This window comes from Homo sapiens, chromosome X (assembly GCF_000001405.40).
Source record: "Homo sapiens chromosome X, GRCh38.p14 Primary Assembly".
NCBI lineage: Eukaryota > Metazoa > Chordata > Mammalia > Primates > Hominidae > Homo > Homo sapiens.
Window position 1 is genome coordinate 40201578 of NC_000023.11, and position 25847 is coordinate 40227424.

At 48.0% G+C, this 25847-nt stretch overlaps 2 annotated features.

The window, feature by feature from the left end:
• Positions 1099-1148: a silencer, noted in NCBI's record as "silent region_20762". NCBI's record gives its function as "represses an Ori minimal core promoter by ATAC-STARR-seq in GM12878 lymphoblastoid cells {active_cell/tissue: GM12878}" and the evidence as "EXISTENCE:reporter gene assay evidence [ECO:0000049][PMID:35858748]".
• Positions 9471-10022: an enhancer, noted in NCBI's record as "H3K27ac hESC enhancer chrX:40070301-40070852 (GRCh37/hg19 assembly coordinates)". NCBI's record gives its function as "activates a minimal SCP1, AML or CMV promoter by ChIP-STARR-seq in primed H9 embryonic stem cells {active_cell/tissue: H9 hESC(primed)}" and the evidence as "EXISTENCE:reporter gene assay evidence [ECO:0000049][PMID:30033119]".

A 25847-nucleotide genomic window follows, 5' to 3' on the forward strand; every position in this document is an offset into this window, starting at 1 on the left:
TTTCATGACCCAGTCCTCAGAAATCATGTGGTGTCACTTTTGTCACATTTGTTTGTCAAGGCAGTCACAAAGGCCTGCCCAGTTTCAAGGGGTGAGAGAAATAAGCCCCACCTCTTGAGGAGGGAGTGGCAAGGTTCTGGAGGAGGATGTGAGGTCATATACAGTGGCAAGGCCACTTTCAGAATACAATCTGCTACAACCTCTCTTCTCAGTGCATTCTTACCACTGACCTTTTTAGATCTGTTATGGTCTCTGGTTTAGTTCATTCAGCCGGTTCAGTTCATTCAACCCACTAGGGTTTCTGCACTGCTACCCAGAGGCCTCTTGGTGTTCCAGCCTTAAAGCCATGTCTGTGCCCATCTTGAGGACAGGGAAAATTTGCAGAGTTCTTTTTTTTTTGTCCGAGACGGAGTCTTGCTCTGTCACCCAGGCTGAAGTGCAATGGCACCATCTTGGTTCACTGCAACCTCCGCCTCCTGGGTCCTGGTTCAAGCAATTCTCCTGCCTCAGCCTCTTGAGTAGCTGGAATTACAGGAATGTGCCACCATACCCACCTAATTTTTGTATTTTTAGTAGAGACAGGGTTTTGCCATGTTGGCCAGGCTGGTCTTGAACTCCTGACCTCAAGTGATCCTATGGGCAGAAAAGAGGCGGCCAGGCGTGGTGGCTCACGCCTGTAGTCCCAGCACTTTGGGAGGCTGTGGCGGGTGGATCACGAGGTCAGGAGTTCAAGACCAGCCTGGCAAAGATGGTGAAACCCCATCTCTATTAAAAATACAAAAATTAGCCAGGCATGGTGGCAAGCACCTGTAATCCCAGCTACTGGGGAGGCTGAGGCAGGGAACTGCTTGAACCCGGGAGGCGGAGGTTGCAATGAGCTGAGATCATGCCATTGCACTCCAGCCTGGGCAACAAGAGTGAAACTCCATCTCAAAAAAAAAAAAAAAAAGACAGATATTTTTGGTGCTGCTGCCCCATCTCTTCGTCCCCCTTCCTGCCTTGACCGTGTTGTGTTGAGGAAACTGTCTCTAACCATGTTCTTCCTCTACTCTCACACCACAACAACTGTCAACACAGAAGACTTCTGTGACCAAATGTGGGAGGGGCTTCCCCACACACCAAGCAGCGGGCACCAGCTAGGTGTCCTTGAATTCAGTTTTGACACTGTCTACCCGCGGATAATGTCAGATCCCACAGGTTGAGGGCTCAGTCCCCAAGACTGCCCCCCCACCCCACACACACCTGTTGCAAACCCAGGCCTCTGAAACTTCTGACTGACTGGCTTCAAGTTAAAGTTCCCATGACCCCCTCTTTGGGTTTGATTAATTTGCTGGAGCGGCTCACAGAACTCAGAGAAACACTTATGTTTACCGGTTTATTAGAAAGGATATTGCAAAGGATACAGATGAAGAGACACGCAGGCGAGATATGGGAGAAGATACGTGGAGCTTCCATGCCTCCCCTAGGCGAGCCACCCTCCAGGAACCTCCATGTGTGCAGCTATCTGGAAGCTCGCTGGACCCTGTCCTCATGGGTTTTTATGAAAGCTTCATGACATCAGCATCCCTTCCCCCAGGGTATAGGGGGGCACTCTGTCATGGCAGAGTCTTAAGACCCACAATCAGAAAGGTAGGAAAAGATTAGGATGGAAGGAAGCCAGAAGGGCAGAACCCTGCCCCTGAGGCCCAGTACACCCAACGTTATAACAAAAGACTGGAGCAAGGGCGATGGAGTTATAAGCCAGGATCTGCGGATGAAAACCAATATATATCATAACACCACACTGTGCAAGAGCTACAGCAGCCATCTTGGGGCCTAAAGGAGAGGCCAAAATAATCACAGAAATGCTGATCTTGATGTTTTAAGTCACTGAACTCACATCTGTTGAATCTCATTTTGGACTTCTTTTGTAAGAAAAATAACTCTGATGCATGTTCAGAATGCTGTTCACAGAGTTCTCGGTTCCTTGCACCCTAACACATTCTTTGTTTTTTTGTTTGTTTGTTTTTTTGAGATGGGAGGTCTCACTCTGTCATCCAGACTGGAGTGCAGTGGTGTGATCTCGGCTCACTGCAACCTCTTCCACGTGGGCTCAAGCCATCCTCCCACCTCAGCCTCCTGAATAGCGGGGACCACAGGTATACGCCATCATGCCTGGCTAATTTTTTGTATTTTTGGTAGAGATGGGGTTTCACTATGTTGCCCAGGCTGGTCTTGAACTCCAGAGCTCAAGCAACCTGCCCACCTCGGCCTCCCAAAGTGTTGGGATTACGGGCATGAGCCACCGCGCCTGGCCACACATTCTTTTTTTTTTTTTGAGATGGAGTTTTGCTCTTGTTGCCCAGGCTGGAGTGCAATGGCACCATGCAACCTCTGCCTCCCGGGTTCAAGCAGTTCCCCTGCCTCAGCCTCCCGAGTAGCTGGGATTACAGGTGTGTGCCACCACACCCGGCCTGGGCCATGCATTCTTAACTGATACAGTTGCTCAGGGTGCCAGAGTTAGTGGAAGCTGTTCGTAGATTTCCTAGTCACCGAGCCAGTGAGTCAGGCTTCTCTGTAACAGGCCAGCAAATGTTGGAACAGCACAGCCTCCCCTCGGCTGCAGAGTCCCAGTTCTCCTCTTTCCCCTCTCAGAATTCCATTTCGCAGCCGGGGACAGTGGCTCACGCCTGTAATCCCAGCACTTTGGGAGGCCGAGGTGGGCAGATCACGAGGTCAGGAGATCAAGACCATCCTGGCTAACACGGTGAAACCTCGTCTCTACTAAAAATACAAAAAATTAGCCAGGCCTGGTGGCGGGCGCCTGTAGTCCCAGCTACTCGGGATGCTGAGGCAGGAGAATGGCGTGAACCCGGAAGGTGGAGCTTGCAGTGAGCCTAGATAGCGCCACTGCACTCCCTCCTGGGCGACAGAGTGAGACTCCGTCTCAAAAAAAAAAGAATTCTATTTCGCTAGCAGGATGCACAAGCCCCCTGGAGACGCTGCCTCTGGGTGACTGGCAGGGCTGGAGAAGCTGCAGTCCGCCTCCTGCCTTCTGGAACTTCAAGTGTGAGGAATGCAGGCAGCTTCAGACCACTAGCAAGTCTTTGGACTAAGGCCTGCTTCACTCACTTTCCAGCCTCAATTTCCTTCTTTTTCACTTAGATTTACAAAGAGAGCAAGCCCTGAAGGAAAATGAAAATGATCTATCCATATTTTGGGGGCTATACCCTGATTCCCCTGTGAGTAATATTTCTTCTTTACTTTCTGTCTTATTTTGGCTTAGAATGCAAGCCCATGAAAAGTAGGCTTCCGGCTTTCTTAGACTGAGTTGTGTACAGTTGTTAACTGGTGCTTACTGAAAACCCAGATGACTCTGAGCTTGGGGAAATACCAAGGAAAGAGATGACCTGTCCTGCCCTAAAATGGCATACAGTTTAGTTGGGGAGCCACACCGAAGCCATCCAAGAGAGCCTGGCCTTAGAGAGGCATTATTGCTTTGGGACTATGAGCATATATTTGCAAACAAATCAGCCTGGATTGAACAAGTTACTTAACCTTTTTATGTCTCATTTTTCTCCTCTGTAAAATGGAGAGAATAATCATATCGAGTCCTTGGGGCCATTGGTGCAGATTAATTAAACTAGCTATGGTGATGATGATGGAAGTTACGTGTTCGTTCTTCGTCTCCACACGTGCTCTGTGCATCCTAAAACTGAGGGGCTGGTTTCCCTCATTCAACACCTACCTGTGAGTATTTTGTTTGTACCAGAGGCAGTGTGAAGGGATCTAGGTACCCCCCGCAGGAGTCTGGCGACCACCTCCTGCAGACAACAGCCACGTGGGGAGATTAGCAATGGAAGATTAATTTCTCCTTGTCATTTCCCCAGGGGCCTTAAGCAATCTCGGGAGCAATTTTCCTCACCTAGAACACCGCCCTCGGGAAGCTGGCGGGGATCGACTGCCTGGCGGCGCCGAGCGAGTCCCGGGTTCCAAGCTGCGTCGCCAGCCAGAGAGAAATGTGCCTGCTGAACAGTCAGTGCCATAATGCAATGGACGCCGAACACAACTTTGCTGCGTGTGCTTTCTATTTGGCTGGGGAGCGTGAAGGACGCCTGAAACGGAGCTCCCTGCCTCTCAGCGCAGACGGCCACGCGGAGCCGCGCCGGGCAGCCTTTGTCTCGGATGAGATTGCTTTTCATAGGTGAGGCTCTGCCTGGAGGGCAGAGTGCTGAGTGCAAGAGAACTGTTTCCTCCTCCTGCTAAAAAGGAGCAAGAGGGAAGAGCTGTCCTGTGCTGGGGTCAGCGACCAAACCGCACTCCAAGAGGGGAAGCTGAGGTTAGAGCTTAGGAAGGACTTCCTGGCTGGAAGGGTAGTCTTCAATCTGGATTTTGATTAGAGGATTTTCCGTGAAACACACACAAAACGTTGTTGGGGATGCATTTGAAGATGCTTAGGCTGGGCATCGAAGGGATTTTCTGAGGATTGGGACAGGGTGTGCCTCACACAGGATTGTGTTTCTGGGCCCCAAGATGGGCTGTGCCCTTCAGCAACTCAGCCGCACCCCGTGCTTAGGTGGCCATTCTCCCATCACATATTTGTGGTGCACTGATTGTGTTTAAAATATGGCTCCACCACTGTGACCTTGGATGGTCAAGTATTGTATTGACCTCTGAGGCTCCATTGCTTCATCCCTCAAATGGGCTTAAGAATGCCTTCCTCGGCCAGGCGCGGTGGCTCATGCCTGTAATCCCAGCACTTTGGGAGGCAGAGGCAGGCAGATCATTTGAGGCCAGGAGTCTCTACTAAAAATACAAAAATTAGCCCGGCGTGGTGGTGTGTACCTGTAATCCTAGCTACTCAGGAGGCTGAGACAGGAGAATCGCTTGAATCCAGGAGGCGGAGATTGCAGTGAGCTGAGATCATGCCATTGGCTAACATCTCTAAAGCAATTAATACGTTCAGCAAGGGCATCAGATGGGCTGCCTTCAGCTGCAAGGCATAGCAGATCGAACTCAAAGTAAGTGGCTTAAAGAAAAGGAGACTTGGCTGGGCACGGTGGCTCATGCCTGTAATCCCAGCACTCTGGGAGGCCGAGGTGGGTGGATCATGAGGTCAGGAGATGGAGACCATCCTGGCTAACACGGTGAAACCCTGTCTCTACTAAAAATACAAAAAATTAGCCGGGCATGGTGGTGGGCGCCTGTAGTCCCAGCTACTCGGGAGGCTGAGGCAGGAGAATCACTTGAACCCGGGAGGCAGAGGTTGCAGTGAGCTGAGATCACGCCACTGCATTCCAACCAGGGCGACAGAGTGAGACGCCGTCTGGAGAAAAAAAGAAAGAAAAAAAGAAAAAGAAAATGAGACTTTGGCCGGGCACAGTGGCTCACACCTGTAACCCCAGCAGTTTGGGAGGCTGAGGTGGGTGGATCACAAGGTCAGGAGTTCGAGACCAGCCTGGACAATATAGTGAAACCCCATCTCTACTTAAAATACAAAAATTAGCAGGGCATGGTGGTGCCTGCTTGTAGTCCTGGCTGCTCGGGAGGCTGAGGCAGGAGAATTGCTTGAACCCGGGAGGTGGAGGTTGCAGTGAGCCGAGACTGCCGCCACTGCACTCCAGCCTGGGCAACAGAATGAGACTCCGTCTCAAAAAAAAAAAGAAAAAAAGAAAAGGAGACTTATTTTGTTTTGTTTTTGATTCAGGATCTCTGTCGCCCAGGCTAGAGTGCAGTGGTGCAATCATGGCTCACTGTAACCTCCACCTCAGGAGCCCAGGGGCTCTGGTTGTTCTCCCACCTCAGCTTCCTGAGTAGTTGGGACTACTCACACCGCCACACCTGACTAATTTTTAAAAAAGGTTTTAGTAGAGGTGGAGTTTCACAATGTTGCCCAGGCTGGTCTTGAACTCCTGGACTCAAGACACCCTCCTCAGCCTCCCAAAGTGCTGGGATTACAGGCATGAGCTACTGTGCCCAGCCAAAAGGAGACTATTATCTCAGAAAAGAATTCCTGAGGCAGGATGGTTTCCAGGGGCTTCTAGCAATTAAGGGGCTTTCCATCTCTGCTCTGCTAGCCTTGGCTAATTGGAGGTGACTCTTCATGGTCTAAACACAACTGAAGCAGTTCCAGGCACCATATGTTCAGCATGAGAGAGATTGAAAGAGATTGGCATTGCCTTCTCTGTGAGTATTGTATTAGTGGATTTTATTTCAGGTCCCATTGTCTAGGACTAGGTCACATGGCCATGCTCCACCCATCTTTGGTAAGGGAGATGAGGCCACCGTGGTTGGCTTAGACCAAGCATGATTCACCCCGCTATGACTCGAGAGGAGGTCGCCTTCCCTGACCACATTGGAAGGTGAACCCCAGAACAAAATTTGGCCTTAGCTACTGGGGAAGAAGGAGGGGGGTGGGGTTACAGGCCTAGAAGAGAATTGACCATGAAATAGGCAACCCATAGTTTTGACAACAGTTAGTTACCTGCCTACCTACCTACCTACTTACCTTTTTATTTTTATTTCATTTATTTATTTTTATTTGTTTGAGACGGAGTCTTGCTCTGTCATCCAAGGTGGAGTGCAGTGGTGTGATCTCAGTTCATTGCAACCTCTGCCTCCTGGGTTCAAGCAATTCTCCTGCCTCAGCCTCCCTAGTAGCTGGGATTACAGGTGTGTGCCACCACACCCGGCTAATTTTTGTATTTTTAGTAGAGATGGAGTTTCGCCATGTTGGCCAGGCTGGTCTCGAACTCCTGACCTCAGGCAATCCTCCTGCCTTGGCTTCCCAAAGTGCTGGGATTACAGGCATGAGCCACCGCGCCTGGCCATCTTTTTATTTTTGATCATATGCCATGTTTCCACTAACAGAGAAAATATAAAACCCTTGCTGGCTCGAAGCCTGTTTATTTTTATATTTCCCAGGCACATAGTAGGCACTTTATAAACATTTGTATTGATGATGATGACATGATATATAAATTATTGCAAACATCACGGAGCAATAGAGTTTGTGCATATTTCTCTTTTTTTGAGAGCTATCAAGGACTCTAGGAAACATAAGATTATAATTTTTTGAAGCAGTACTTAAAGGGTTACTCTGAAATTCATTAAGAGAGAAAGATCAAGGATGGTGAGAGGAAGTCAGGAGAAATAACAATAACCAACATACATCTAAGGGAATATATATATATACACAGACTTTTTTTTTTGTCGGACTTTCACTTCCTGCTTTACCAAAGTACTCTATTTTTTTTTTTTTTTTTTTTTGAGACAGAGTCTCACTCTGTCGCCCAGGCTGGAGTGCAGTGGCGTGATCTCGGCTCACTACAACCTCCGCCTCGCGGGTTCAAGCAATTCCCCTGCCTCAGCCTCCCGAGTAGCTAGGATTACAAGCACCCGCCACCATGCCTGGCTAATTTTTATATTTTTAGTAGAGATGGGGTTTCTTCATGTTGATCAGGCTGGTCTTGAACTCCTGACCTCAAGTGATCCACCTGCCTCGGCCTCCCAAAGTGCTGGGATTACAGGCGTGAGCCACCATGCCAGGCCCAAAGTACTCTATGTTGAGGCTGTCAAACCCCACCCACCCAACGCCCCATAGTAAAGCATTTTTGCATTTTGGTTAACCAAACAAATCAATAGTGGCACCCAGTGGCTAGAAGGGTTAATCAGGGAATGGCAATTTCTCTTTGCATCTCAGTTCTACCAACTACAGCTGTATTTAAAAATTAAACTGGCCGGGCTTGGTGGCTCATGCCTGTAATCCTAGCACTTTGGGAGGCCGAGGCGGGCAGATTGCCTGAGCCCAGGAGTTCGAGACCAGCCTGGGCAACATGGTGAAACCCTGTCTCTCTACTAAAATACAAAAGAAATTAGCCGGGCATGGTGGCTTGCACCTGTAGTCCCAGCTACTGGGGAGGCTGAGGCAAAATAATTGCTTAAACTCAGGAGGCAGAGGTTGTAGTGAACCGAGATCACGCCACTGCATTCCAGCACTCCAGCCTGGGTGACAGAGCAAGATTCCGTCTCTACAAAAACAAAAAAATTAAACCACTGAGTCAAGCATTTGAAGAAAATGTCTATTTGGGCTTAAACTCCTGGCAGCATTTTGCTTCCCACAAAAGCCTGTCCAACGTTCTCCTCCTTTTCCTTTCAGCAGCGGAGTCTGTGAAGGCCCATCCTCCACCTTAAAGCCCAGGGCTGGTGGGCGAGAAAACCTCAGTAGTCTGGCACAGTTATGGAGATTGTTAAAAGTTTATTTATTCTACCTCCTCTCTAAAATTGAACAAGTATAATTATGTGCATTGCTAGAGTTCCAGGTATTTCCTCAAGAGGACGTCCCCTCTTGAGGGGACGTCTGGTCCTTACTGGATTTCAGGAGGGACAGGAGCCAGAGGAAACCTAGACCTCTGCCAGTTAATGGGCTAATCAATGAACCAAACCAGTGAGAGGGAACACAAAAGTGCCCAGGCCTGGCTTTTGAGTTTCATCTTCATCTTTCCAGCCTACCATTAGTAAGGGATACATGTGATTTAGGCCGGGCCAGTAATTACTTAGTCACCAGGCTTTTCAAGGCTCTGAATCCTATTTATTAAGCTGTGTGGACTATGCCTCTGACTCAGAAGGGTAGGTAGGCCCTGGTTACACACTGACATAGAGAATGAATTGTTCCTTGTTCCAAACAAGCTGGAAGACCCCCATGGCAGAGGTCATTAGCTGTCCCTAAATAACTACCTCCCTACCCGCCACATTTATAATAGAATTTTAGCCAGGCACATGGCCTCCTAGAGAGAGAGAGAAAAAAAAAAAACCCCTATATTTCCCACCCTCCTTTGCAAGCTAGGTGTGGCCATGTGATGAAATTCTGGCCAATAGAATGTAAGTGGAAGTCTTGCATCCGACTTCAGAGGAGTGGGAAGTATCCTTTTTTTGTTTTATTTTGTTTGTTTATTTATTTATTATTATTTTTTATTTTTTTTAGTATTTATTGATCATTCTTGGGTGTTTCTCGGAGAGGGGGATTTGGCAGGATCATAGGACAATAGTGGAGGGAAGGTCAGCAGATAAACATGTGAACAAGGGTCTCTGGTTTTCCTAGACAGAGGACCCTGTGGCCTTCCGCAGTGTTTGTGTCCCTGGGTACTTGAGATTAGGGAGTGGTGATGACTCTTAACGAGCATGCTGCCTTCAAGCATCTGTTTAACAAAGCACATCTTGCACCGCCCTTAATCCATTTAACCCTGAGTGGACACAGCACATGTTTCAGAGAGCACGGGGTTGGGGGTAAGGTTATAGATTAACAGCATCCCAAGGCAGAAGAATTTTTCTTAGTACAGAACAAAATGGAGTCTCCCATGTCTACTTCTTTCTACACAGACACAGTAACAATCTGATCTCTCTTTCTTTTCCCCACATTTCCCCCTTTTCTATTCGACAAAACTGCCATCGTCATCATGGCCTGTTCTCAATGAGCTGTTGGGTACACCTCCCAGACGGGGTGGCGGCTGGGCAGAGGGGCTCCTTACTTCCAAGACGGGGTGGCCAGGCAGAGGCGCTCCTCACCTCCCAGATGGGGCGGCGGTCGGGCAGAGACACTCCTCAGTTCCCAGACGGGGTCGCCGCCGGGCAGAGGCGCTCCCCACATCCCAGACGATGGGCGGCCGGGCAGAGACACTCCTCACTTCCTAGACGGGATGGCAGCCGGGAAGAGGTGCTCCTCACTTCCCAGACTGGGCGGCCGGTCAGAGGGGCTCCTCACATCCCAGACGATGGGCGGCCAGGCAGAGACGCTCCTCACTTCCCAGACGGGGTGGCGGCCGGGCAGAGGCTGCAATCTCAGCACTTTGGGAGGCCAAGGCAGGCGGCTGGGAGGTGGAGGTTGTAGCCAGCCGAGATCACGCCACTGCACTCCAGCCTGGGCACCATTGAGCACTGAGTGAACGAGACTCCGTCTGCAATCCTGGCACCTCGGGAGGCCGAGGCAGGCAGATCACTCGCAGTCAGGAGTTGGAGACCAGCCCGGCCAACACGGCAAAACCCCGTCTCCACCAAAAACTGCAAAAACCAGTCAGGTGTGGCGGCGTGCGCCTGCAATCCCAGGCACTCTGCAGGCTGAGGCAGGAGAATCAGGCAGGGAGGTTGCAGTGAGTGGAGATGGCAGCAGTACAGTCCAGCCTTGGCTTTCACAACTTTGGTGGCATCAGAGGGAGACTGGGGAGAGGGAGAGGGAGACGAGGGAGAGGGAGAGGGGGAGGGGGAGAGGGAGAGGATTTATTTATTTTTTTGAGACAGATTCTTGCTCTGTCACCCAGGCTGGAGTGCAATGGTGTGGTCTCAGCTCACCACAACCTCCACCTCCCGGGTTCAAGCCATTTTCGTGCCTCAGCCTCCCGAGTAGCTGGGACTACAGGTGTGCTACCATGTCTGGCTAACTTTTTCTTTTTCTTTTTTTTTTTTTTTTCCCAGTAGAGACGGGGTTTCACCACGTTGGCCAGGCTGGTCTTGAACTCCTGACCTCAGGTGATCTGCCCACCTTGGCCTCCCAAAGTGCTGGGATTACAGGCGTGAGCCACCGCATCCAGCCTCAGGCAGCCATCTTGAATTCTGAGGTGGCACAGAATGGTCAAATACCCACAGAGAAGAAACCTGGGTCCTTGAGTATCAGGTGAATGCTCAGGCCCTAACCCAGACCTACTGAATCAGAACCTCTAGAAATGTGGCCTAGACATTTATGTTTTAACAAGCCCATGGTGATTCTGATGCACTTTACAGTTTAAGAACCATCGCCTTAGAATTTTTTTTTTTTTTTTGAGACAGGGTCTCCCTCTGTCACCCAGGCTGGAGAGCAGTGCTGTCATCACAGCTCACTGTAACCTCAAAGTTGCAGGCTTAAGTGATCCTCCTGTCTCAGCCTCCTGAGTAGCTGGGACCACAGGTATATGCCACCATGCTGGGCTAATTTTTAAAAATTTTTGAGGCTGGACGCGATGGCTCACACCTGTAATCCCAGCACCTTGGGAGGCTGAGGCGGGTGGATCACCTGAGGTTAGGAGTTTAGGACCAGCCTGGCCAACGTGGTGAAACCCTGTCTCTAGTAAAAAATACAAAAATTAGCCAGGCGTGGGTGGCGGGTGCCTGTAGTCCCAGCTACTCAGGAGGCTGAGACAAGTGAATCGCTTTAACCCTGAAGGTGGAGGTTGCAGTGAGCCAAGATCACGCCATTGCACTCCAGCCTGGGTGACAAGAGTGAAACTTTGTCTCAAAAAAAAAAAATTTTTTTTTGTTGGACAGAGTCTCATTATGTTGCCCAGGCTGGTCTCAAACTCCTGAGATCAAGTGATCGTCCCACCTCGGCCTCCCACAGTGCCCAGCCTGCACTAGACTATTATTTTCCCATTAAGGTATTTTTTCAATAATTTTCTCCCAAAATCTATTAAGAAAAAGTATTGAGAACAAGGACACCATAACATTCCTTTGTTTTTTCTTCTACTTATTTTCTCCCATCAGGTTTAAGGGGAGATGCTGTCAACATCAATAAAATTATAAAAACATGTAAGTTATGTATGGGTGAGGCCAGGAATCATTAAAACATCAAATTTAGGACGAGCAAGAGACACACTGGTACTCCAAGCTAAGAACATCTGAGAATAAATCAAGTTGAGTACAAGGAGGACAGTGTGATGGTGAATTGTATGTCAACTTGACTGGGCCATGGGGTGCCCAGATATTTGGTGAAACCATAGCTAGGGGGGAGGTCTGTGAGTGTATGTTTCTGGATGATACATTTGAATGGGTAAACTGAGTCAAGCATATGGCCCCCCCCAATGTGGGTGGACCTCATTGAGTCAACTCAAGACCTGAATAGAACACAAAGGGTGTCTAAGAGGGAGCTTCACCGGCCTGACCGCCTGAGCAAAGACATCAGCCTTCTCCTACCCTCCCACTACACCATGAGCTCTTCTGGTTGTCAGGCCTTCAGACTCAGACTGGAACTGCACTACTGGCTTTCTTAGGTCTCCAGCTTGCAGTTGGCAGATCATAGGACTTCTTAGATTCTACAGTTGCGTGAGTCAATTCCTTATAATCTCCATCTCTCTCTCTGTATGTATGTATATATCTCAAATTGGTTCTTCTGAGAACCCGTACTAACACAGACAGGAAGGCAGTGTGGCAAAGAGCAAAGACCCAGGGAGCCCTGTATTTGAATTCTGGTTTTATCACTAACTACTTATGATATTGCTTAACCTTTTGAATCTCACTTTCTTCATTAGTAAAATGGAGCTAACCCTACCTTCTTTTCTAAGATTTTGACAAGACTAAAAGAGATAATGTTTGTAGAACACTTTACACAGGTTTTTAAATTTTTTTTTTAAATTTTAAATTTTTTGGAGACAGGGTCTCATTCTGTCACCCAGGCTGGAGTGCAGTGGGGCAATCATAGCTCACTGCAACCTTGACCTCCTGGGCTCAATTGATCCTCCCTCCTCAGCCTCCCGTGTAGCTGGGACCATAAGTGTGCACCACCATACCTGGCTAATTTTTTATTTTTATTATTTGGAGAGACAAGGTCTCACTTTGTTGCCCAGGCTGGCCTCAAACTCCCGGGCTCAAGTGATCCTCCTGCCTCAGCCTCCCAAAGTGCTGGGATTGCAGGAGTCAGCCACTGTACCCAGCTGATGATGGATATTCTTATGGTGGTGATGATAAGACCAGATCCATAGTGAATGAATATGGGAAGGAAAGACATATCCTGAATCTTTTTATTATTTTATTTATTTTTGATTAAGCGTACATTTGTTAGTAGTGCCCATCTACTTGGTTGTTGTAAAAATTGGGTGAGATCACTCAGTATAGTGATTGGTGAGATCACTTAATAGAATAAGCACTCATTTAATGGTACCTGCTCTAAACATGATCATCGTTACTACCATCATTATTATTACCTACCTGTCATATGCTGTTTAATCTTCACATAAGACACAATGATCAGGGAGTTCCCAGTCACAACATTACTAAGTGGCAGAATTTGAACCTGAGACCATTTGTCTCCAAAGTGCATGTTCTCCTTAGCTGAATCACTGAATTGTTTTAGATGTTGGTTCTTGGTTGGCATCTTTCTCAAAAGCCATGGGTAGGAGAGTCCATAATCTGTCTGACCTACTACCTTTGTTATTATTATGCATCATTGTATACTTATAGCGATGATGGGGGTGTGGTAGTCAGTCTCCAAGATGACCCCAGTGAGTCTTGTCTCCTGTCCTTGTGCAATCCCTTTTGACTCTGAATCAAGAAGCTATACTGAATCTATTGTGACCAACAGACTCCTGCAGATGTGCTGGTGTGTGACTTTTGTGGTAAGTTATAAAAAGCATTGAAGCTTTCACTTTGTTCTTGGATTGCTTGCTCTGGGGGAAGCCAGCTGCCATGTTGTTAGGGCACTCAAGCAGTCCTGTGGAAAGGCCCACAAGGGAGAAGAACCAACTTACCAGAAAAAAAAAAAAAATTAGCTGGGCATAGTGGCGTGCGCCTGTGGTCCCTGCTACTCATGCTACTCGGGAGACTGGGGCAGTAGGATCACTGGGGCCCAGGAGTTCAAGGCTGCAGTGAGCTATGATTGCACCACTGCACTCCAGCCTGGGCTGTTGACAGAGTGAGACCCCAGCTCTTAAAAAAAATGTTTAGGCTGGGCGCGGTGGCTCACGCCTGTAATCCTAGCAATTTGGGCGGCCGAGGCGGGTGGATCACGAGGTCAGGATATCGAGACCATCCTGGCTAACACGGTGAAACCCCGTCTCTACTAAAAATACAAAAAATTAGCCGGGCATGGTGGCAGTTGCCTGTAGTCCCAGCTATTCAGGAGGCTGAGGCAGGAGAATGGCGCGAACCCGGGAGGTGGAGCTCGCAGTGAGCCGAGATAGCGCCACTGCACTCCAGCCTGGGCGACAGAGTGAGACTCCATCTCAAAAAAAAAAAAAAGTTTATACATTGTAATTGGTTGATATATATGTCTCTTCAGTCTCTCTTTTTCTTTTCTTTTCTTTTTTTTTGTGACAGAGTCTCGCTCTGTCGCCCAGGCTGGAGTGCAGTGGCGTGATCTCGGCTCACTGCGAGCTCCACCTCCCGGGTTCACGCCTTTCTCCTGCCTCAGCCTCCCGAGTAGCTGGGACTACAGGTGCCCGCCACCGTGCCTGGCTAATTTTTTGTATTTTTAGTAGACGGGGTTTCACCATGTTAGCCAGGATGGTCTCAATCTCCTGAAAGTGCTGGGATTACAGGCGTGAACCACGGCGCCCGGCCTCTTTTTTTTTTTTTTTTTTTTTTTTTGAGACAGAGTCTCATTCTGTCACCCAGTCTGGAGTGCAGTGGTGTCATCTTGGCTCACTGCAACCTCCATCTCCTGGGTTCAGGTTATCCTCCTGCCTCAGCCTCCCTAGTAGCTGGGACTACAGGTGCATGCCATCACACCTAGTTAGTTCTTGTATTTTTAGTAGAGAGGGGGGTTTCACCATGTTGGCCAGGCTGGTCTTGAACTCCTGACCTCAGGCGATCCACCCTCCTCAGTCTCCCAAAGTGCTGTGATTACAGGCATCAGCCACCATGCCTGGCCCTCTTCAGTCTCTTCTAATCACTGCATTTTTCCTCCCTCACACCCAGCCAAGTGAGTGAGCCACCACAGAAATGTATCATCCAGCATCTCAGCTTCAACTCCTCCAGCTGAAGCCCCAAACATTGTGAGCAGAGACAATCCATCCCTGCTGTACCTTATCTGAATTCCTGACCTACAGAAATAAAGAGATAGAATACATTGTTACTGTTGGTTTATGCCACTACATTTTTGGGCAACTTGTTATGCAGCATTAGATAACTAATATGGGGGTGGGTGAGTTCTGTCAGAGTTGTCACAGCTGAGTGTGTTCACAGAAGTTAGTGGCAAGCCTAGAGGGCACATGTCTCACAGCCTCCAGGCAGACAGAAGAAGTCACTAAAGAATCATCTGGCCGGGCGGTGGGTCACACCTGTAATCCCAGCACTTTGGGAGACCGAGGTGAGTGGATCACTGGAGATCAGGAGTTTGAGACCAGCATGGCCAACATAGTGAAACCCCATCTGTACTAAAAATACAAAAATTAGCCGGGCGTGGTGGTGGGCATCTGTAGTCCCAGCTACTCGGGAAGCTGAGGCAGGAGAATTGCTTGAACCTGGGAGGCGGAGGTTGCGGTGAGCTAAGATCGCGCCACTGCACTCTAGCCTGGGTGACAGAGCGAGAATCCATCTCAAACAAAACAAAACAACAAAAAAAGAATAATCTATTTCCCTTGAATAAGTTCCCATTACCATGTTACTTAAGCTTACTTTTAAAAATCTAAGTATTACACAAGATTTTAAGATATTGTCTACAGCCTTGGCAACATAGTGAGACCCTGTCTCTACAAAAGAAAAAAAATGAAAAAATTAGTTGGGCATGGTGGCATGTGCCTGTATTCCCAGCTACTTGGGAGACTGAGGCAGAGGATCACTGAAGCCCAGGAGTCCGGGGCTGTAGTGAGCCATGATTGCGCCACTGCACTCCGGCCTGGGCAGCAGAGTGAGACTTTGTCTAAAAAAAAAAAAAAAGTGATTGTCTAAATAAGAAAACCTAAAGATACTTGAGAACTAATTTGTAATTAAGTTGTAGCCTCAGGAGACCAAAGCCCTAGATTTGTATTTGTATCAGTTAGGATTAGTTTGGGATACAAGGGACTGGAAACTCCGAATAACAGGGCTTTAGAAAGAGAGTTTATTTCTTTCTTTCTAAAGAGAAGTCCAGAGTAGGCAGCCCAAAGCTGGTAGGGTGGCTTCAAAAAGTTGTCAGAGACTCAAACTCCTTCAGTCACGTGGCTCTGACATTCTCAGCAGGGGCTGTAGCTCATGACCCAAGATGGTTGCAGAACTCCAGTTATTGCACTTGCATTCCAGCCAGCATGAAGGAGGAAGGGATAAAAAAGGATGCACAGGATCTTCATTTAAGGACACTTTCTGGAAATTGCACCTGAAGTTTTTGCTTGCATCCCATTGGCCAGAATTTAGTCTCATGGCCACACCCTGGCATTTAGAGTCTCACTAGGCTATTGGCTGGAGGCTGTCCTTAGCTCCTTGAGGCCACGTGGGATTTCCCCACATGGCTGCTTGCTACCTCAAAGCCAGCTAAGGAGAGAGAGACTCCATCTCTCCCAAGGATGCAAGGGACGTGGGGAAGTATAGTCTTTGCTTCAACAGCTTTCTTTCTTCCTTCTTTTCTTTTCTGAGCTTTGTCGCCCAGACTGGAGTGCAGGGACATGATCTCAGCTCGCTGCAGCCTCAACTTCTTGGGCTCAGGTGATTCTCCCACCTCAGCCTCCTGTGTAGCTGGGACACAGGCATGTGCCACCACATCGTGCTACTTTTTAAAATTTTTTTGTAGAGATGGGGTCTCATTTTGTTGCCCAGGCTGGTCTCGAACTCCTGGGCTCAAGCGATCCTCCCACTTTGGCCTCCCAAACTGCTGGGATTATAGACACAAGCCCCCACGCCCGGTCGACAGCTATGTTTCTAGAATGGATACTGGGGGACTCGGAGTTCATACTCCCACATTATATCAGTAGGGATTAGTTTCAACTGTGCATGATTGAAAACCCTAAATAACAATGGCTTAAACGAGATAGAAATCTAGTCACATAAAAGTCTGAGGAAGGCAATCCAAGACTGATATGGTAGCTCTTCTTTATGCAATGCTTCCAGATTCAGACATTTTCTACATCCTTCTAGGAATCTGTGGTGCGTGTCCTCCATTCCTAAGGTCATCCTATGGTTCAGTGGTTAAACATGCTGCTCAGGCTCCAGCCAGGACTTGCTACATAAATTGTGGGGCCTGGTGCAGAATGAAAATGCAGAGCCCCTTGTTTAAAAGATTATTAAAGCCGGGCGAGGTGGCTCATGCCTGTAATCCCAGCACTTTGGGAGGCCGAGGTGGGTGGGTTACCCGAGGTCAGGAGTTCAAGACCAGCCTGGCCAACATGGTGAAACCCCCCCTCTCTACTAAAAATACAAAAAATAGCCGGGCATGGTGGTACATGCCTGTAATCCCAGCTACTCCGGGGGCTGAGGCAGGAGAATCACTTGAACCCAGGAGGCAGAGGTTGCAGTGAGCCAAGATCGCGCCATTGCACTCCAGCCTGGGCGAGAGAGTGAGACTGTCTCAAAAAAAAAAAAATCATTAAGAATTTCAGGCTGGGTGCGGTGGCTCACACCTGTAATCCCAGCACTTTGGGAGGCTGAGGCGGGCAGATCACGAGGTCAGGAGATCGAGACCATCCTGGCTAACACGGTGAAATCCCGTGTTTACTAAAAGTACAAAAAAAATTAGCCAGGCATGGTGGCGGGTGCCTGTAGTCCCAGCTACTCGGGAGGCTGAGGCAGGAGAATGGCATGAACCCGGGAGGCAGAGCTTGCAGTGAGCCGAGATCGTGCCACTGCATTCCAGCCTGGGCAACAGAGCGAAACTCTGTCTCAAAAAAAAAAAAAAAAGAATTTCAGTACAGTAGCAGAGCTTTCAACCAAACACAGGGACCTTTTGAGTGTGGTGCCCTGTGTGGCTTATGCACCCACGTAGTTGGCCCTGTCATTCCAGCCAGGAAGGAGAAAGGAACTAAGATCACTGTGGCAGTAGCACGTGGCTACAGGCCACATCTTGCAGAGCACCTTCTGTGGAAACAAAGGGAAAATACACTCACTGCTATTGTTTTTGCCTATGCAGCTTCCATTCCCCCTCCCTTTGGTAACAGTACCTCTTCCCTTTCTTCATCACTGCACAACAAATACTCTAAAACTTAGTGGCATATAATAACCAAAATACCAACTGATGAATTCTGACGGTCAGGAATTTGGCAAAGGCTTGGAGGGGAGAGTTTGGTTCTTTCCCATGATGTCTGGGACTTCAGCTGAGAGAAGTCGAACAGCTGGGCCTGCAGGATCTGCTTCCAAGATGGTGTCTTCCTTCCTGGCTAAAGGTCCGACTCAGCTGTGACTTTTTTTTTTTTTTTTTTTGAGACAGAATCTCACTCTATCACTCAGGCTGGAGTACAGTGGTGTGATCACAGCTCACTGCAACCTCCACCTCCCAGGTTCAAGCAATCCTCCCACTTCAACTTCCTGAGTAGCTGGGATTACAGGTGTCCGCCACTGCACCCAGCTAAGTTTTTGTATTTTTTGTAGAGATGGGGGAGGGGGTGGTCTCTTCATGTTGCCCAGGCTGGTCTCAAACTCCTGGGCTCAAGCAATCCACCTGCCTCAGCCTCCCAAAGTGCTGGGATTACAGGCGTGAGCCACAGCGCCTAGCCTCAGCTGTGACCACTGACCAGAGCACCTGCATGTGCCTTCGTCAGGAGGGCAGTCTCATCAGGTCTTCATCAGGAGGGCTAGAAGGACATATTCGTTTCCCAGGGCTGCTGTAACAAAGTACCACAAACTGGGTGGCTTCAAACAACAAAAATTGATTCCCTCACAGTTCTGGCAGCTTGAAGTCCGAAATCAAGGTGTCAGCGGGGCCATACTCCCTCCAAAGCCTCTAAGGGAGGATCTTTCTTTACCTCTTTCTGCTTCTGGTAGTCCCAGGCATTCCTTGGCTTGTGGCAGCATCACTCCATTCTCTGCTTTCATCTTTGGATGGCATTCTCTCTGCAGCACATGACATTCTCTCTCTCTCTGTCTCTCTGTGTGTGTGTGTGTGTCTGCATGCAAATTGCCCTGTTCTTATGAGGACACTAGTCATATTGGATTAACGGCCCACCTTACGCCAGTGTAACCTGGTCTTAGCTGGTCCCAGCTGTACCTGTACCCACTGTTTCTTTTTCTTTCTTTCTTTTTCTTTTCTTTTCTTTTTTTTTTTTTTTTGAGACAGAGTCTGCTCTGTCACCCAGGCTAGAGTGCAGTAGCACGATCTCAGTTCACTGCAACCTCTGCCTCCCAGGTTCAAGCACTTCTCCTGCCTCAGCCTCTCGAGTAGCTGGGACTACAGGCACGTGCCACCATGCCCGGCTAATTTTTGTATTTCTAGTAAAGACAGTGTTCTGCCATGAGGTCCGGGCTGGTCTCGGACTCCTGACCTCAGGTGATAGGCCCACCTGGGTCTCCCAAAGTGCTGGGGTTACAGATGTGAGCCAGTGAGCCTGGCCTACCCACTCTATTTCTAAGTGAGTTCACATTCTGAGGATTAAGACCTCACTATATCTTTTAGTAGGGCACAATTCAACCCATAACAAAGGAGTTCTTACTTAGGACTGCAAGAGAGTAAGTGTCCCTCCAAACAAGGCAGAATCTGTATGGCCTTTTCTTACCCAGCTTTGGAGCTCTGCTGTTGGTGGAAGCAGTCAGAATTCCATCCATCAGGGGCAGGTGTCCTAGCTTGCTCCTGCTGCCGTAACACAATACCACAGGCTGGGTGGCTTAAGCAACAGATAGTAATTTTGTCACAGTTCTGGAAGCTAGAAGTCCAAGGTCAAGGCGCTGTCAGGATTGGTTTCTGATGAGGCCTCTCTTCCTGGCTTATAGATGGCCGCCTTCTCACTGTGTCGCCATACGGCCTTTCCTGTGTCGCCACACGGCCTTTCCTGTGTGCATGCAGAGAGAGATCTCTCTGGTGTCCTCCTCTTCTCATAAGGACACCAGTCTTATTGGATTAGGGCCCCATCCTATGACCTCATTTAACCTTAAATTATCTCCTTAAAGGCCCTATCTCCAAATATAACCACACTGGGAGTTAGGGCTTCAACATATAAATTTGAGGGAGTTGTGCAAATCAGTCCATAGCAGCAGGGGCCATAGACCTGACCTCTTGATGGCAGAGGTGTTAAAGAATTTGGGCCGTATTTTACAACTGTCGTGGTCCCTTAATTTTCCTCTAGGAAACCATCCTTCCCCCCTTCAATCCACATGCTTTGATCAGAGCTTATTTCTATTCTACCTCTCAGAGTGAGCTATGTATCCTGGTTGGTCAATTAAAGTATCACATTCCCATGGCCACAGTGATAGTTTCTGAGATGGGTATGTGACCTTGATTGGTTCAGTTGCCCACAACAGACACAATTCCAGTTAGTTTAAATAGTGTATCAGTTGCCTATTGCAGCATAAGAGATCACTCCCAAAACTCACTGGCCTAAAACAACCACCATTTATTTAGCTCATGGTTCTGCTTGGACTGCACCAGGCTGGGTAGATCTCAGCTGGTCTTATTCATGTGGCTCTGTGTAATTGGCAGGTTGGTTGGGACTGGCTAGTCCCAGATGGCCTCACTCACATATCTGGAGGTTGGTTGGCTAGCAGCTGGGGTGACTATGCCATGCGTCTCTCATCTTCCAGCAGGCTAGCTCTGGCATATTCACACATTAGTAGTGTTCCAAGAATGGCAAGTGCGCAAGCCCCTATGCACAAGCACTTTTCAAGGCTCTACTTTGGTCACTTTATTAATACTTTGTTTACCAAAGGAAGTCTCATGGCCCACACAGATTTAAAGGGTGGTGGTGGAGGATTTGATAGACAGATGTTTAGAGTGCTCCATGATTCCCCTCCTGGAATTCATGCCCATACATAAACTTCTCTCCTTCAGTGTGGACACAACCTGTGACTTGCTTCTAAGCAATAGAATACGGCAAAGGTGATGGGATGTAGGTGATTATGTGGCTACATTATAAAAAAGTGTAGCACCATCTTGGTGCAGTCTCTCACTCCTTTGCAGGTTTTGAGAAAGCAAGCAGCCATGTTGGTAAATTCCATGTGGCCTCAAGGAGCTTCAGGGCAGCCTCCAGACAACAGCTGCAAGAAACTGAAGTCTGGCTGGGCACCGTGGCTCATGCCTATAAACTCAGCACTTTGGGAGGCCAAGGCAGGAGGGGAGATCACTTCAGCCCAGGAGTTTGAGAGCAGCTTTGGCAACATAAGGAGACCCCGCCTCTACAAAAAGTTTAAAAATTAGCCAGGTGTGGTTGTGCACACCTGTACTTCCAGCTACGGAGGAAGCTGAGGTGTGAGGATCACTTGGGCCTAGGAGGCCCACTGCAGTCCAGCCTGGATGACAGAGTGAGACCCTGAGAAGGAAGGAAAGAAGGAAGGAAGGAAGGAAGGAAGGAAGGAAGGAAGGAAGGAAGGAAGGAAGGAAGGAAGGAAGGAAAGAAGGAAAGAAGGAAAGAAGGAAGGAAGGAAGGAAGGAAAAGAGAGAGGAGGGGAAGAGAGGGAGAGAGAGAAAGAGAGAGAGAGGGAGAGAGAAAGAGAGAAAGAAAAAGAAAGAGAGAAAGGAAAAGAAAGAGAGAAAGAAAAAGAAAGAAAGAAAAAGAAAGAAAGAAGGAAAGAAAGCAAGCCCTACAACCATGAGGAACTGAAATCTGCCAACAACCAATGATCTTGGAAGCAGATCCTTCCCCAGTCAAGCCTCAGATGAAAACACAGCCCCAGCCAACATCTTAACTGCAGCTTTGTGAGACTCTAGGCAGAGGCCTCATCTGAGCTGTGCCCAGATCCCTTAACCACAGAAATGTAGGTTGTTCTAAGCTGTTAAGTTTGTGGCCATATTGTTACACAGCAACAGATAACTAATACAGAGGGCAAGACTCTGTGGCTATTTTTGTTATGTGAGTCGATTATTACGTTGTCTGTACTTTATGGATTAGTAGGCTTGGGCTGCCATAACAAAATACCACAGACTGGGTAGTTAAGCAACAGATATATGTTTTCTCATAGTTCTGGGGCTGAACATATAAGATCTATGTCCTGGCAGGGTTGGTGTCTGTGAGGCCTCTCTTCCTGGTTTGTAAACGGCTTCCTTCTTTATGTATCCTCACATGGCCTTTCCTGTCTGTGAGTTTGGAGAGAGACAGCTCTGTAGTGCCTCTTCCTCTTCTTAAGGACACCAGTCCTTTTGGATTAGGGCCCCACTCATAACCTCATTTCATCTTTTTTTTTTTTTTTTTTTTTTTTGAGACGGAGTCTTGCCCTGTCGCCCAGGCTGGAGTGCAATGGCACCACCTCAGCTCACTGCAACCTCCGCCTCCTGGGTTCAAATGATTCTCCTGCCTCAGCCTCCCGAGTAGCTGGGATTACAGGCGCCTGCCACCAAGCCCAGCTAATTTTTGTATTTTTAGTAGAGACAGGGTTTCACTATATTGGCCAGGCTGGTCTTGAACTCCTGACCTTGTGATCTGCCTGCTTTGGCCTCTCAAAGTGTTGGGATTACGGGCGTGAGCCACCACGCCCGGCCAGCCTCATTTCATCTCAATTACTTCCCTAAAGGCCCTGTCTCCAAATGCAGTCACATTGGGGTTAGGGTTTTAACCTCTGAATTTTGGAGTGACATAGTTCAGTCCATAATGAAGTACTTCAGTGTAGATTGTGCGATATGTATGTATATTTTTGTTGTTTTAATGTATACTGTAGAAGAGGTGAGTTAACACTAAAATATCCTAATGAAGAATGCTTAGTTAGCATCTGAAAAGCTCAAATCAGAAATCCACACTTCAAAGACAGCTACCAGAAGCACATTAGCTACCTAAATCTATACCATAGGGTTGCCAGGCATGGCAGCTCATGCCAATAATCCTAGCTACTCAGGAGGCTGAGAGGCAGGGGGGTCTCTTGAGGCCAAGAGTTCAAGACCAGCCTGGGCAACATAGCAAGACCCCATCTCTCAAATACACAAATAGATAAATCTATGCCAGTAGGTTCACCAAATAGCATAAAGAATGTTAGAAATAGGCTGGGTGCGGAGGCTCACGTCTGTAATCCCAGCACTTTGGGAGGTCAAAGCGGGTGGATCACGAGGTTGGGAGATAGAGACCATCCTGGCTAACACGGTGAAAACCTCTCTCTACTAAAAAAAAAATACAAAAAATTAGCCGGATGTGGTGGCACGTGCCTGTAGTCCCAGCTACTCAGGAGGCTGAGGCAGGAGAATTGCTTGAACCTGGGAGACGGAGGTTGCAGTGAGCCGAGATTATACCACTGCACTCCAGCCCGGCAACAGAGCGAGACTCTGTCTCCAAAAAAAAAAAAAAAAAAAGAATGTTAGAAATAAATATTCATTGATAAAACAAGTGGCATTCAAGACATGGGGATTGACTTAAAATACTGTACTACCACGTCTGCAATTATCAGAAGCAGATCTATGAATCTAGCACACCAAACACTCTCAGGAGTCATGTTCCAGGCCACAGATTTTGTTTACTCCTTTGGCCTGCCATCCAACAGAAGACATTGAACCTGTTCTAACTGGAGGGTTAGTTGAATCCTGCTACTTAAATATTGTCACATCTATGCCCAGTGTACCTTTCATGCAAGGTACTTGTTGGCATGCCTAAGGGCAGAGACTTGGCACTTCACTAAGTTACAAGAGCATATTGCATGACTGTTTTTGTGCCAGTTTGTAAGAAATGTTATTACGTGTGACTGCTAATGCTGTTGGAGGCTGGCTATAATTTTTTTTTTTTATTTTTAACTTTTTTTTTTTTTAGAGACAAGGTCTCACTCTGTTGTGTAGGCGTGATCATAGTTCACTGCAGCCTCAACTTCCTGTGCTCAAACAATCCTCCTGCCTCAGCCTCCCAAGTAGGTGGGACCACAGATGCATGCCACCACATACAGCTTTTTTTTTTTTTTTTGAGACAGGGTCTCACTCTGTAGCTCAGGCTGGAATGCAGTGGTGCAATCATGGCTCACTGCAGCGTCAATCTCCCCAGCTCAAGTGATTCTCCCATTTCAGCTTCCCGAGTAGCTGGGACTGTAGGCACATGCTACCACACCCGGGTAATTTTTTTATTATAATTTTTGTATTTTTTCGTAGAGATGGGGTTTCGCCATGTTGCCCAGGCTGGTCTCAAACCCCTGGACTTAAGTGATCCGCCCACCTTGGCCTCCCAAAGTGCTGGGACTACAGGCGTGAGCCACCATGCCCAGCCTTGGTTATGATCTTTTGAAAAATGATTTTTAACATAACACCTGGCAGTGAGGTTGTGAAGGACAGGACAAATAGCCCTTACCTTGCTCTAGACCAGGGGCTCTTAACCTGAGGTTCAAGGATAGAATTCATGGGGCAAAATGACATCTTCATTTTTACTAGCCTCTAAGTGAAATTTGGCATTTCCTTCTATTACAAGTGTAGGCAACAAACCACAGTAGTATTAGCAGTACCTGTGAATTTGTCCCTGATCAAAATCATATTCCTGGCCAGGTGTGGGGGCTCACGTCTGTAACCCCAGCACTAAGGGAGGTCGAGGCGAGTGGATCACTTGAGATCAGGAGTTCGAGACCAGCCTGGCAAACTGGTGAAACCCTGTCTCTACTAAAAATACAAAAAAAATTAGCTGGGCGTGGTGGTGCACTTATAATCCTAGCTACTTGGGAGACTGAGGCAGGATAATCGCTTGAACCTGGGAGGCAGAGGTTGCAGTGAGCCAAGATCTCACCACTGCACTCCAGCCTGGGCGACAGAGCAAGACTCCGTCTCAAAAAAAAAAAAAAAAAGAAATATCATTTATGCTCATCAACACTATGAAATGACTGTAGTTATTAGACCAGCTATAGGATTTTGTTATTGAACGATTTAATAAAACAGCACCTATCTTTCTAATATATCACAACTTTTTTTTTTTGAGATGGAGTCTCACTCTGTCACCCAGGCTGGAGTGCAGTGGCAAGATCTCGGCTCACTGTAAGCTCTGCCTCCCGGGTTCATGCCATTCTCCTGCCTCAGCCTCCCGAGTAGCTGGGACTACAGGCGCCCGCCACCACGTCTGGCTAATTTATTTTTTTGTATTTTTTTAGTAGAGACAGGGTTTCACCGTGTTAGCCAGGATGGTCTCGATCTCCTGACCTCGTGATCCACCTGCCTCGGCCTCCCAAAGTGCTGGGATTAGAGGCGTGAGCCACTGCGCCCGGCCTCACAACTTTGTTTTAATAATTTGATAATGCTTTCAATGTCACCGGTTTCCTTTGTAATCCGATATATTTATTTATGGATAAGGACTGGATTCTGGAGGCTTCTGCTGTTCATCAGATAGCCCCAACATATGACGTACACTCAAGGCCAGGCTGATTAAAATGGTGGGATTGGAAGCTCATGTTTCAAACTGTCTTTTGATTTTTTTCAATTTGAGGGCCGGTTTCATCTCAGAACTTATTAGATTATGGTTGCTTTTGCCTCATAATGTGGCTGACAAAGCTCACACTAGGCAAAACATCTGCTCTGCCTCCATCTTGTTCGGGTGTGCTTGTATTATTATTATTATTATTATTATTATTATTATTATTATTATTGTTATTTGAGACAGAGTCTCGCTCCGTCACCAGGCTGGAATGCAGTGGCGCGATCTCGGCTCACTGCAACCTCCGCCTCCCGGGTTCAAGTGATTCTCCTGCCTCAGCCTCTCGAGTAGCTGGGACTACAGGCGCCGGCCACCATGCCCGGCTAATTTTTTAATTTTTAGTGGAGATGGGGTTTCACCATGTTGACCAGGATGGTCTCTATCTCTTGACCTCGTGATCTGCCCACCTCAGCCTCCCAAAGTGCTGAGATTACAGGTGTGCACCACCAGGCCTGGCCATTAGTATTTTAACATACAGTTTCTTCACAGGAATCCTTTTAAGCTCCATGGCTCATTTGGGAGTTAAGTTAAAACTAGGTCATATGATCAGTAAATCCTCATCACTAGGCACCTGTAAGCTGCAGTGCGTCACAGTATGCTGACAGTGGAGGAGGAAGCAGGCTTCCAGCTCTTCTGTTACAGTCACGCAGGTGCCACCTGTGACCACGACTCACGGTTTATGGGCCAGATAAGGGCATTCACGAGTGGCAATCTGCAATGGCAAGC